We start from the raw sequence: 14,781 nt of genomic DNA, 5'->3' as shown, positions 1-14,781 counted from the left end.
TTTCACGATATTGATTCTTCCTACCCATGAGCATGGAATGTTGTTCCATTTGTTTGTGTCCTCTTTTATTTCCTTGAGCAGTGGTTTGTAGTTCTCCTTGAAGAGGTCCTTCACATCCCTTGTAAGTTGGATTCCTAGGTATTTTATTCTCTTTGAAGCAATTGTGAATGGGAGTTCACCCATGATTTGGTTCTCTGTTTGTCTGTTGTTGGTGTATAAGAATGCTTGTGATTTTTGTACATTGATTTTGTATCCTGAGACTTTGCTGAAGTTGCTTATCAGCTTAAGGAGATTTTGGGCTGAGACGATGGGGTTTTCTAGATAAACAATCATGTCGTCTGCAAACAGGGACAATTTGACTTCCTCTTTTCCTAATTGAATACCCTTTATTTCCTTCTCCTGCCTGATTGCCCTGGCCAGAACTTCCAACACTATGTTGAATAGGAGCGGTGAGAGAGGGCATCCCTGTCTTGTGCCAGTTTTCAAAGGGAATGCTTCCAGTTTTTGCCCATTCAGTATGATATTGGCTGTGGGTTTGTCATAGATAGCTCTTATTATTTTGAAATACGTCCCATCAATACCTAATTTAAACTAAAGAGCTTCTGCACAGCAAAAGAAACTACCATCAGAGTGAACAGGCAACCTACAACATGGGAGAAAATTTTCGCAACCTACTCATCTGACAAAGGGCTAATATCCAGAATCTACAATGAACTCAAACAAATTTACAAGAAAAAAACAAACAACCCCATCAAAAAGTGGGCGAAGGACATGAACAGACACTTCTCAAAAGAAGACATTTATGCAGCCAAAAAACACATGAAGAAATGCTCATCATCACTGGCCATCAGAGAAATGCAAATCAAAACCACGATGAGATATCATCTCACACCAGTTAGAATGGCAATCATTAAAAAGTCAGGAAACAACAGGTGCTGGAGAGGATGTGGAGAAATAGGAACACTTTTACACTGTTGGTGGGACTGTAAACGAGTTCAACCATTGTGGAAGTCAGTGTGGCGATTCCTCAGGGATCTAGAACTAAAAATACCATTTGACCCAGCCATCCCATTACTGGGTATATACCCAAAGGACTATAAATCATGCTGCTATAAAGACACATGCACACGTATGTTTATTGCGGCACTATTCACAATAGCAAAGACTTGGAACCAACCCAAATGTCCAACAATGATAGACTGGATTAAGAAAATGTGGCACATATACACCATGGAATACTATGTAGCCATAAAAAATGATGAGTTCATATCCTTTGTAGGGACATGGATGAAATTGGAAACCATCATTCTCAGTAAACTATCGCAAGAACAAAAAACCAAACACCGCATATTCTCACTCATGGGTGGGAATTGAACAATGAGATCACATGGACACAGGAAGGGGAATATCACACTCTGGGGACTGTGGTGGGGTCGGGGGAGGGGGGAGGGATAGCATTGGGAGATATACCTAATGCTAGATGACACATTAGTGGGTGCAGCGCACCAGCATGGCACATGTATACATATGTAACTAACCTGCACAATGTGCACATGTACCCTAAAACTTAGAGTATAATAAAAAAAAAAAAAAAAAAAAAAAAACAAATTCTTAACTAGCAAACTTGATAAGCAACTGAAACCAAGGGAAGGGGAGGTTTGTAGAAATGCTAGAATCATTTAACAGTCATCTAGTAGAGTGAGAGAGAGGAAGCACTACAGAAGGATCGTCTGACTGCCAGAAACTTCGAGTGCCTCCTTGGAGTTGTTGATCATGAATTGACATGGAGAGCAGCCCCCGTGGTTTTGTATTTTTTCCCAAGTTCAGCTTCGAGACCATTGATAACGATAGGCAGAGAGTTACATTTAAAAATGGTGTGGCTTATCCAAGAGAGCACAGTAAAGGAATAAAGAAGCAAAACTAAGTTGTATGCAAGGGGGAAAAGTATCATGGATAGGAGTGAGTATCATGACACCCCATGGATTATAAGTTTGGGAATTTAGGATACAGTGGGAAGAAAGGGTGAAATTCGTTTTCTAATTAATTAATTTTTAATTGACAAAAATATTGTATAGATGTATCATATGCATGTTGTTTATACTATGGGTACATCGTGGAGTGGTTAAATTGAGCTAATTAACATATGCCTTACTCACATACTTATCATTTTTTTGTGATGAGAGCACTGAATATCTACTCTTTTGGCAAGTCTTACAAACACAATACACATTGTTAACTATAGTCATCATGCTGTACAATAGATTTTTAAAACTTATTCCTCTTATATAAATGAAATTTTGTATCCTTTGGCCCAGGGGTCCCAGGGGTCCCCAAATTTTTTGGTTTGGTCCCCAACCAGGAACTGGTTTTGTGCAAGACAATTTTTCCACAAACAGAGCTAGAGTTGGGAGGATGGTTTCAGGATGAAACTGTTCCACCTTAGATTATCAGGCTTTAATTAATCTCTCATGAGAAGCACACAACCTAGATCCCTCACATGCACAGTTCCCAATAGGGTTCGTGCTCCTTTGAGAATCTAATGTCGCACTGGTTTGGCAGGAGGCAGAGCTCAGGCAGTAATGCTCGCTTGCTTACCTGCCACTCACCTCCTGCTGTGTGGCTCGGTTCCTAACAGGCCATGGACTGATACTGGTCTGTGGTCCAGAGCTTGGGGACCCCTTCTTTAGCCAGCATGTCCCCAACTCTCTTCACCCTCAGTCCCTGGTAACCATCATTCTAGTCCCTGCTTCTTTCTGGGCTTGAATTGTTTCACTTAACATAATGTCTTCTTGATTCATCTATGCCATCCAAAATGACAAGATTTTCCTCTTTATTAAAGCTGGATAGTATTCCATTGTGTATATATACTGCATGTTCTTTATGTATTCATCCACTGATGGACACTCAGATCTATTCTATATATTGGCAATTGTGAATAGTGCTGCAATGAACACAGGGGAACAGATACCTGTTTAAGCAGGTATACCTGGTTTTATTTCCTTTAAAAATGTAAGTTAATTAACCTGCAAATATCCTAAATCACTATTTCTTTTTAGGGCACAGACATTTCACATTCAATAAAAATATACCAGCAAAGATCAGTCCATGATCTTCCTGATCTGACCAGGGGATACCCATCCTTTAGGCAGACCTCAAACAGAGTCGTTTTCATCCATAGCACACAGCTGTGATTGTGCCCACAACCTGCTGGTGGTATGTGGGGTGGTGAGAAGCTATTGCTACCTCTGTGCTACTCACAACATACAACCTAGTGGCTTATTGGAGAAGATTCCTGAAGGATTTTTTAGGTTTAGATGTTTTTGCTGCTTCTGCCTCTTGCTAAAACTGTGACCCTGAAATAGGGCAAGTCAATGTCTACTTATTTAAAAAACAAAAACAAAAAGAGGAGTTCTCCTACTGAAATAAGTTGATTTTCCTTACCTGAGAGTTGGTTCTGGCAAGTATTGACTGCCCCAGGGTCTGAATTAAAGTCTAGAGTCTCCCTGAATTTTACACAATTGCTAATACGTTCAAACGATAAAACTCAACTGCCTTCTGAATCACTACATAAAATGTGATAATGAAAAGGAATATTTATTTCTACAGTTTGATAACAGGTTTTAATGCAAAAAGCCATGAAACTAAACCTGACAGCAACTGGCATTTGAAATAATTTTACAGATTTAGATGGTTTTGGCCTTTTGATAATTTTTGTGACTTGCCATTTTTCTTAAAAAATTAAATTGTCAAAATGGTTACAAGTCTACAATAAGATCATGGATATTATCTTCTATGAACTTTGGATGGCATATTAAATAATGAAAGTTCTCTTTATGAATATCCAAAGATAAAAATATAAGCAGGGCATTTGATTATCCTCCTTGTCAGATGTAGTAGTGGGTCTTTTATGAAAATATAAATAATGATCTACAACTATTTCTAAGCAATTTTCTGATTTTCTAAGGTTAAAAGAAATGCTTTGAGTAGGACTCCTTGGAGAAATGGCAGAATAATGGACCAAAGCAAAATAAATACAAGATAATACTGGATTATTTGGTTACAACAAAAAGTAATTCGATGACCTCCTAAAAATGAAGAGGACATGCCAGAAGGACACAGGAGCTAGCCATATCTGGGTCAATTTGAGCAACATCATGAGTTGACACAATAATAAATTATAAAGTATTAAATATTTGAAATCTGTGAGTCTTAAGTTATAATAAGTAAATAAATAATATTAAATTAAATCTGACTTACGAGTACTGTTATTTACAGAACATAAACTTGAGTGCCAACAAGTAAATTCAGAGGGAAGGCTTGAAATAGAAAAATATTATTTTGTGACATCGCTATGAAGATTGGCTCATGCAAACCCATTAATGGATGCTAAATTTCAGGGAAAATATTGATGAGGATATGCACACAATCTTAAAATGTCTTTCCATGGATTGCTTATTAATTACATGAGAAAAAAGTCTACAGTGGACCAGAGAATCAGAATTAGCATCATCAGTGATAGACAGATGGCCATTCTATGCCTCCAGACGTGATTGTCTGAGGACACAACATAGCTTATGCAGCATAAAAGTGTGGAACGCAGAACGTAAATTTAACCATGAATGAATGTCATACAAATCCTTGATAAAAACATTTTATATTAAAAGTAAAAAAGGGAGAATGATTCTATTTTAAAGTACTATATTGTAAAAGATAAAGAAACATTGTGGTAATGTTCCAGGATTAAGAACACTGAAGCTATGTGGCAGTGAAATGTAATATTTAATCCTAGATCAGATTCAGACTTAGAGAAAAGTAAAATGCTACAAAGCATATAATATGTCCAATTAAAAATAATATGAAATTGGCCAACATGGTGAAACCCTGTGTCTACTAAAAATGCAAAAATTAGCCGGGCGTGCTGGTGCGCCCCTGTAATCACAGCTAGTCGGGAGGCTGAGGTGGGAGAATTGCTTGAATCCGGGAGGCAGAGGTTGCAGTGAGCCAAGATCACTCCAGCCTGGATGACAGAGCGAGACCCCATCTCAATATAATAGTAATAATAATAATTAATAATAATGCTATTGACGGTAGATTAAATATTATGTCAATATTATATATACCGAAATATTTTAATTATATAAAAAAATTTCTCTATTCTTAGGAAATACATACTGAAGTATTTAGGGGAAAATGTCCGGGGTGCAACTTACAAATGGTTCAGAAAAAATTTATGTTTATGTATTTGTATATAAACTTAAACATATATGCACATACACATGTGTGAAATAGAATTCAAACTATAAAACATAATAGTAAAATAATAATCAGTCTATCCGGGTGAAGTATATATGGCAGTTTTCTGTACTGTTTTTATATTTGTAACACATATTTTAAACTGTTATGTTTAAAATTTTTGCACATAAAATGTTAAAAAATATTGTTAAATGACTTGTACATGTGCTGTCAATAGGAGAATCATAATTATGCCAAAATATATGAGCCAATATTTCATTTGTAGTGATATATCTTTTCAAATCATCAAATTTGCTACCCAATAGATCAGCTCAGGAAAAAGAAGAGATCCAAAGTTTCAAAGCTGTTGAATGATATGACATAATATTTATCAAATAGGTCAAAGAACATGATATTCCACACTCAGCAGAATGTCTCCACTGACAAAAATTGACCGTTTTTGAATAGTATACATTTGATTTATAAAAGTATTTAATTTTGCATGTTGTATATACAATTAAATTATGTTTAATGTTATAGTTCAAAATAAATTTTATCTGAATTTTTCCAGCTCTGCTTTTCTATTTTAATTTTAAATGTGGACATGCATTATTTTAACTGACTATAGTTATTTCTCAATTATATTTATGACAAAGTGAACATATGCTATTTATCACGTTCTCTATTTGTAAGGATTGTTCAGAGACACAGAACCAATAAGATGTGTGTGTATACATACACGCATATATGTGGTATTATTTGTATGTATACAAAGATTGTGTGTGTGTGTGCGTGTGTGTTTGTGTGTGTGTGTGTGTGTGTGTGTGTGTGTGCGCATGTGTGTCATGGCAATTTTCTCAAGCAATTATGAAGGCCTAAAAGTCTCACCCTCTGCTATCTGCAAACTAGGGAACCAGCAAAACCAATGACATGATTTAGTCCTAGTTGGAAGGCCCAAGAACCAGGAGAGTGAACAGTGTAACTCTCAATTTGATTCTGAAGACTTAAGAATCAGATGCTACAAAGGCGGGAGAAGATGTGTGCCCCAGCTTAGAAGACAAAGAGAAAATTTATCCTTCCTCCACCTTTATATTCTGTTCAGGCCCTAAAGGGATTTGGGTGCCTTCCCAGCGGTGAGGATGGGTCTTCTTTACTCAGTCTACTGACTCGCATGCTCAGGAAATACCCTCCCTAAACACTCTCATGGTCACACCCAGAAATAATGTTTTACTAGCGTTCTGGGTATCCCTTAGCCCAGTCAAGATGACACATAAAATTAACCATCACACATTCCTGGAAAGAAAGACTCCCTGGTATACTCTTCACTCTCCTCTTGGTCTTGTTGTTGTTGTTGTTGTTGTTGTTGTTGTTGAACTCCAGTCCATTCAATGCTGACTGTATTGTGTTATGACCCTCTAGTTAGCTCTTTGAATTCCTGTTGTATGGAGAAGAGACTCACCGCTGGTCTTCAACATTTCTCTAAGATTGTATCAATCCATTATTGCATTGATCTGAGATAAAAACTATCTGAGACTGGGTAATCTACAAAGAAAAGAGACCTAATTGGCATGACCCTGCAGGCTGTACAGGAAGCATAGTAGCTTCTCTTTCTGGGAAGCCCTCACGAAGCTTCCGATCATGGCAGAAGGTAAAGGTTGAACGAGGTGCCACGCTTGGTGGGAGCAGGAGCAAGGTGTGGGGTGGGGGGGTGCTATACACTTTTTTTTTTTTCTTAGAGTCTCACTCTTTCACCCAGGCTGGAATGCAGTGGTGCTATCTTGGCTCATTGCAACCTCTGCCTCCCGGGTCGAAGCGATTCTCCTGCCGCAGACTCCTGAGCAGCTGGGACTACAGGCGTGCACCACCACACCTGGCTAATTTTTGTATTTTTAGTAGAGACGGGGTTTCAGGCTGTTTAGGCTGATCTTGAACCCCTGACCTTGTGATCTGCTCACCTCGGCCTCCCAAAGTGCTCGGATTACAGGCGTGAGCCACCGCACCAGGCCCACACTTTTAAACAACCAGATTTCTCAAGAAATCACTCACTATTGTGAGGACAGTACCAAGGGGATGGTACTAAATCATTCATGAGAGATTCACCTCCATGATCCAATCACGTCCCAGAAGGACCTATCTCCAGCATTAGGGATTACAATTTGACGAGATTTGGGTGGGGACACAGATCCAAACCAATCACGCATATCTAAGAATTTGAATATCAAATGAAAAGTCGACCTGACAATAATATGTCCCAAGAAACTTTCTCAGTTGTAGGCTGCTATGATCTTCTGTCCCATATAGTTTCAAACAGGGGCATATAGGTTTTGCTACAGTTCTGCTTCTACTCAAAGTTTTTCTATCATCAATAGTTTTATCCTCTTTTTTATTGTTATTTTTAAAAATCAGATTTAAGGCATTGCACTAATTGTGCTCCCAACACATTGAATTACATCTGTGCGAGGTCTTTCTGCTTAATTGATTCATTAATTGGAAATCGCTCCTTCCTTTTTAACATCCTTCCCTTCTGCCTGATACCTACTCCCCATAGGTGTTTGTTTTCATGCATTTGGCGTGTCTCACTGAAATAGCGCTGTTGGTAAGTAGTGTGATTTTTCTCAACAAAATGTGTGTGTGTGTGTTTAAATATATGTTTCTTAGGGTAAATCTGATGCTTCTAACCACTATATTACATTCCATTCAGGATATATGTCTGATTGGACTCAGTAACCCTAACAATAATGAACATCTGAATTGTCCTCATCACTCACAACCACCACGATAGATGTAGACATTGCGAGATCAGCCTTTTAAATGGACCACCGTGGAATTGTGACTATGAGAGTGATTTACTTGCCAATGAATATAGTCACAAGTTCTTGAATATAGCACATAATTGTTTTATTCTGTGTGTTTTGTTTGTTTGTTCTTTTTGAGATGGAGTCTTGCTCTGTTACCCATGCTGGAATGCAGTGGCACGATCTAGGCTCACTGCAACCTCTGCCTCCCGAGTAGCTGGGATTACAGGCGCCCGCCACCACACCTGGCTAATTTTTGTAGTTTTAGTAGAAACGAGGTTTGACCATGTGGTCCAGTCTGGTCTGGAACTCCTGACCTTAAGTGAACCACCCGCCTCAGCATCCCTGTTGGGATTACAGGCATGAGCCACCATGCCAGGCCTTATTTTGTGTTTTTAATTAATATAACAAGTCAATCAAATTGTTCAACAAATAACCATCTGATGCGGAAATAATTTGTAAAAAGTAGAAAGCCAAATAACAAAGATAAATTAAAAGTATTTAGAAAGAATTTTGCCAAAAGTTAGTTAATATTTTACTTGTCAAAAACAATGTTCAATGATGAGAAAACCCACAGAATTAGGTCAATCACAAAACAAAATTCTTAAATCAGCATTATGACTATAAAAATTATCTCAATTAGCAAATACTGAGGAAAAATCCCTTAGCTTCTTGGCTGTCTACTAAAAATCTTATAAAAATATCTATGTAATTATGGAATGGTTTGTGAGGGTTACAATTTTATTCTATATTTTATTAGCAAATTATATATATGCACAGATATACATGCACAAAATTACTTCTATTTAAGAAAGTAAATAAATGTTTTTGAATTTGCATGAAAACCAAATTTAGTTATACTTAATCATAAAAGTAAATAAATAAAAGTAATTTAAAAACATGGTACAAATATTCTTTTTTTAATGCCAGCATCTAATTTTTGCTATTTGGGACATCAGCTTTAAATGTTATTTAGTATTCAAACTTCTACCAAATAACATGTAGATATATATTTTAAAATTAACTATTTAATAATGTATATTTTACCCATATTAGATACCACTGTGAACATTTTAAAATTATACTTTTATTCACACATGATTATGCTGAGCTGACATATTGGAATAGCATGTTTGGTGATTTGAAAATATGTCTAGTTACAGCTGCAAGGAAAGAAAAAAAAACACTTTCTCAAACCTGTCAGAAACATTTTTTGGGAGATTTACAAAAAGTGAAAAGTTTCACATATTTCCCAGAAATGTTGGCAAGGGACACAAGACATTTCTTGAAAATAAAAATTTCCTTTTGTCCTGGAAGTATATATCCAAAAAAGAAAAACAATTAGGAGTAGGAAAACGAGTCTTTTTTTTTTGTCTTTAAATAAATGCCAAGTTTGACAAATATCATTTCTGTTGGTAACCTTACCTGAAAGAAGATACTTTTAGACTTATTCGAAACATGATTATAGAAAATACCAAAATAATATGTGCGTAACATTTAAATATAAGTTATGGAAAGTAACATGACGAGGAATTTTGAGCCCTTTACCAAGGTAAAGACCAGGACATTGCCATATGTTAGCTAACTATACAGCATCCTGTAGCCACAGAGTCCTTCACCCCGAAATAATCATAATTCTGAATTCATGTGTGTTATTCTCTTGTTTTTCCTAATAGTTTGATTCTACATGTGTTTCTTTTTGCAATATATCGACTGGTCTTTCCTGGTTTTCTAAGTTTTAACTTTATGCAAGCGTTATATGTTTTCTTCTATAATTTGTCTTTATCATGAATTCCTTATCAGTATATTTGAAAAATTAACCTGTACTGATTATTTTTTTCAATATTTAGTAGAATTGGTACTATATTGATTCATAAAGAATTGAACATCTTTTCAAAGCTGTATTTTTTTGTTTTTGAAATATTTATTTTCCTTTTTTTTGTTTTTTTTGTGAGGCCTTTTGTTTTAATTCCTGTTGATTTATAGGAGATGATTATTTCAATGCCTGAATAGGATAAAGTATGAAAGCAGGCTCAATTGAAACATGGATCTCATTCAACATAAACATTACCAATAATTCATGGGGTTCAAGAAGGACCAGGGTCAGCAAGGGAGACAGATATGATACAGCTTCCAAATCATGTTCATTTTTCTCATGCAATGATGTCTTTTTATTTTCTAGTGACAAGTGAAGGTCCGATACTGGTTGTGAAATGCTGTGTTCAGAGGAATATTGTTCAGTTTGGGGGGCTTCCTAGTTCTAGACTACATTAGTCAACAGATAGAAAATATCTTCGTGACTAATGTCTATTGTCTATAAAGCTATAAATTCTAGTTTTTTAAAGCAATAGGTAATCTGATCAGAACATGCAGGTTTCTTTTTACAAAATGGATTTTTAAAAACTTTTTCTCATGTGACATCATTCTATTAATAAGTGTCACTTTTGCATGTCTGCAATAATGTCTTTTCCAGACGCATCATTCTCCCAAAGTCCCATGAAAGAAAGAGTGTATCACCAGCTGGAAGTTCTCTCTTTCCTCCTTCTTCATAAATTGGGTTATAAATAGGGAGTTCACTTAGGAGAACAGAAGTCTTACCCTTAAGTAGTTGATGTTTTCAATCTTTTATTATTTCCTCTTTTGTATTTTGTGAGCCTGATTTAACTCCTATGTATTCTTGAAATCATGAATCCACCTGCAGTCAGCTTTTGCATATCCTCACAAAAGAGCAAGAGGGCGGGTGTCTGGAGTGTTCCTGGAAGCAGCATGAGGAGAAAGGAGAACATGAGGTGTATGTGAGATGTGAGGCCAGGTGCACAGGGACTGGGTGCAAGCTCTCTTGTCACCAGGTGTCCTAGCAGTCAGACCACTGTAGACCTGATGACGCGGCCTCCATCACGAAATCCATAATGGTGCCTGAATGCCATTCCTTCAGCAGAGAGAGAAGTCTCCTTTTTGGTGTCCACAAGACTATGATTTGCCTCTCCTTTGGAGGGTCTTCAGTAACAACAAAGAGTAAACCATTGAGCAACTAACCAAATGTGCTCTGTGTCAAATATCTTGTATTTTGTTCTTCAATTCAACTTGTATGCTTATCCCTATAGTTATAGCTGAACTTATAACTTAAATAGTTATAGCTGAAGTTATAGGTGAACTAGCTCCACTGTTGACATTACATAATAGAAATTAATGTGTTATTTTAAAGATTATTCTTGTGTTAGTCAAAATAATGCCCTTAAAATTTTTCATAAAGTATTTTGCTTGTTCAGTTAAGGGCCACTCATTACCATGTAGAAATGATCTATATTCTAATTTCTGCCAAATATTTTTGTCTCACCGAATCTATCCCCAACTGTGCTGGACAATAACACTTCTTTTATAATTAAATATTCTCCCAGAAACATCAGCTAAGGAGCATAAATATTTAATGACTTCATGACCTATATTTTATGTGTTACAAAAAGAGTATACAAGTCCGAAAGGTTATTTTTCCTTTACTGGAATCTCAACTGAAGTTCCAAAGTTATTTGTTTTTTTCCTGCAGCTTTGACTAGCCTACTTCTTTCTGTTAAAAATCTACCTTTTTTTTACATTTTCTTGTAAATCAGAACTAATACCTGTACCTCATAGATTAACTGTTAACCACGTTGCAATAAAGTGTCCATTTTTCTCATTTTCATCTAATCACTAGCATACCTCATTTGTATGCTTCAGGCAAAGTGATCCCCATCCAATTGGCACAGTGGCTGGGCCTGCATACCAGTGCAGCTCAAGTTCCGCGAGTGACAGCATGCCATCAGTGCCCTACAGTGAGATTGTACAGCTTTCAAAGGAGGCAAAACTAATTTCACCCACCCCATAATATTATCACTTTCTAATATCCCATCAAGATAGGAGATAGGTCATACAGTTGTAGTTATATTTGATTAAACACATAAATACTGGAGAGCCACTATGTGCAAAGCATATATCTTTTCTGTCTCTGCCCCTGCCTACTTTTGGTATTTGTGGCCCAAAGGGCACATTCAAATTATTACATCTAATATCTACAGCCCAGCCTCAGGGAAAAGAATGACGCCTGCCAATTCCTCCAGGTACTAAGAAGGATATATGTGATTATTAATTTAGGTAATTCTAATGAATTAAAATGTCAAGAAGTATAGAACCATCAAATTTTACTTCACAGAGAAAGTTGGACCACAGAAAAATAGAGTTGTAACAATAACTTATAATTGAAAAGAAAACAGTAAATTTGTTAGCTTATATCAGAAATGTTTCAAGTTCATTTTTGTTGTTTTTTTGGTACATTCTTCACTCTCTCTTTTTTTTTTAATGAGACTTAGTCCAGTTTACCAAAAACGGTCTTGAATATATTTTGTTCCTAAGATATTTTGATTTAAACAAAAATCAAATCAAAATAAATAAGTGTGTGTGTCTATTCAATTCTTTGGTTCCAAAATATTTTCTTCTGAGTTCCTAAAAAAGAAATCCCTTTGCAAAAAGGCAAGTCGGATGCATTTTGTCTTTTTAAGTGTACATGTGTTGGTACCATTTACCTATTTGTTGAGATGGTGGATGATAGATAAAATCTGTTTATTCTACAAGTTTTAAAGTTATTATTTAAGTACATATAATTATCAATAAATTATGTAACAAAATTTAACTAGATATTTTAGTTACTTTAAAGTACACTTTCCATTTTGTAATCTACAATGTACTACATCTAAATTATTTAGTGGTAATTCAGATAGAAATATATTTTAAGAAAAAAATGAACATTCTAATTATAAGTTACTAGAATAAAGAGTACTTATCTCTAGGAAATTAACCCCAAATAAGAAAGATGAGAAATTCCACTTTCAATAAAATTTTTTTGATATTAGTAACCTTAAATTATTCCATAGGAAAAACACTACAGTGCCAGGGAGGCTCAGTTAGAGGCATTAGAGTATCACTAACAGAAGACGGTAGCTGCATCTCTCAAATAAAGTGGCAAAATGCATTTATTTAAAAACTGCGTGTGGCGCGTGCCTGTAGTCCCAGCTACTCGGCAGGCTTAGGCAGGAGAATTGCTTGAACCCGGGTGGCAGAGGTTGCCGTGAGCCAAGATTGCGCCACTGCACTCCAGCCTGGCGATAGGGCAAGACTCTGTCTCAAAAATAAATAAATAAATAAATAAATAAATAAATAAATAAATAAATAAAACTGCGTGGTGTACCGTACCTTGAGCAAAACCAACAAACTCCGGAAAAATGGGTTGCAGAGAATATGTTTTTTGAAGTTAATTTTGATACTACTTGGTAATGTAGAACGGATTGAGAAAATGCATATTCTTTATACAGAAAAGAAGCTTTCTGAAAATAAGTGTCCTAGTGTTTGAATTCTGAGAATCTTTGTAGCAGATTTGCCTTCGCTGAGGTAGATACAGGTATAATAACACATACATACATACATACATACATACATACATACACAAAGACACAAAAACATATGCTCCATAAGGTACCATTAAATGATTCACTGGGACCCAGGAAGCATTTCTGTTAGATGAGGACATAATTATTCCTATATTGTCTTGAATATAGGCTTCATGTTTTTTTAAACAAAGAAAAATCCAGCTTGAATCTATCAAATTATAACTAGGTTCTGAGAAAAAGAAATGAAGATTTTACCTGGGAAAATGTCAGAAATTGCCATATTCAAAATATGCAATGTACTCAAAGGTCTTAGTGAAAGTAGCAACATGTTTGTATCAGAGATATAATATCTCTGCAAGAGCAGGCAGGGTCCAGAGGGATTATGAGGGATGGGTTAGGGGTAAAGGTGGTAATTGAAAGGAAAATAAATAGCAGTTACAAACTCCCTAATGGAAGCAGCACAAAGAAGAATCCAATATGCTAAAAGCACAGTGAACAAACAAATAAAACAAAAGAGAGTATAACTAACACATTTATTTAGGGGTGAAACAAAATGAAACACTTCTCAATCAAATCAAAAGAATGCAAAAATGAAGACAAATTATACAGACGATATAATGAATTATGATCACATATTTAAATGTAAAAAACATTTTGTAATTACATTAAATATAAGTGGCATATACACTTAAATAAAAAAATTAAATTATGCACAATACAACTTGGTATAACTCTTTGGAATTTAATTTTTCTTGACAAAAGCATATAAGAAACAGGTGAGTAAACAAAGTACTCACAAAATATTTATTTGTAAATTGTACTTTTAAAATTGGTAAATAAAATTGTATATATGTATCATGTGTGACATGATGTTTTGAAATATGTATACATTGTGGAATAGCTAAATTGAATTCAGTAACAGAAGCATTACCTTACATACTTATTTTTGGTGGGGAGTGGGGGGGGTGTAAACGTACCTAAAATCTACTCTCCTGGTGATTTTCCAGATGACTATACACTGTTATTAAGTGTAGCCACCATGTTGTATAATGGACCTCTTGTACTTATTCCTCCTGTGGAACTGCAAATTTGACTCTTTGACCAACAGCCTCCCAACCCCAATCCCCTTGCTAGCCCCTGGTAACTGCCATTCTACTCTCTACTTTCATAAGTTCAACTGTTTTAGCTTCCATATAAGTGAAGGCAAATAAATGGGCTTTAGAAGATAAACAGAAGGGAAAATTTGTAGACAACTCATAATCTAAAATTTTCCATAAAGAAAAAAAGAGGCGGCTTGGCCATTTTGATTCACAACAGACAAGGGCTATTTTAATGAC

At 35.7% G+C, this 14,781-nt stretch overlaps 1 long non-coding RNA gene across 1 annotated transcript; it reads right to left on the bottom strand.

Annotated features, from left to right (window-relative positions):
* Positions 1 to 10,631: 10,631 nt before the first annotated feature.
* LOC105372186 (uncharacterized) lies at positions 10,632 to 14,554 on the bottom strand. The gene is made up of 3 exons (XR_935611.2): positions 14,422 to 14,554; positions 11,724 to 11,831; positions 10,632 to 10,782 (listed from the first exon to the last, which is right to left on the bottom strand). It is a non-coding gene; the product is annotated as an uncharacterized LOC105372186 (long non-coding RNA).
* Between the last annotated feature and the right edge of the window lie 227 nt (positions 14,555 to 14,781).

The sequence above is a fragment of the Homo sapiens genome, chromosome 18 (genome assembly GCF_000001405.40).
Source record: "Homo sapiens chromosome 18, GRCh38.p14 Primary Assembly".
Taxonomy (NCBI): Eukaryota; Metazoa; Chordata; class Mammalia; order Primates; family Hominidae; genus Homo; species Homo sapiens.
Note: the sequence above shows the minus strand (reverse complement) of the source record. Positions and strands in the feature narration are given on the sequence as shown.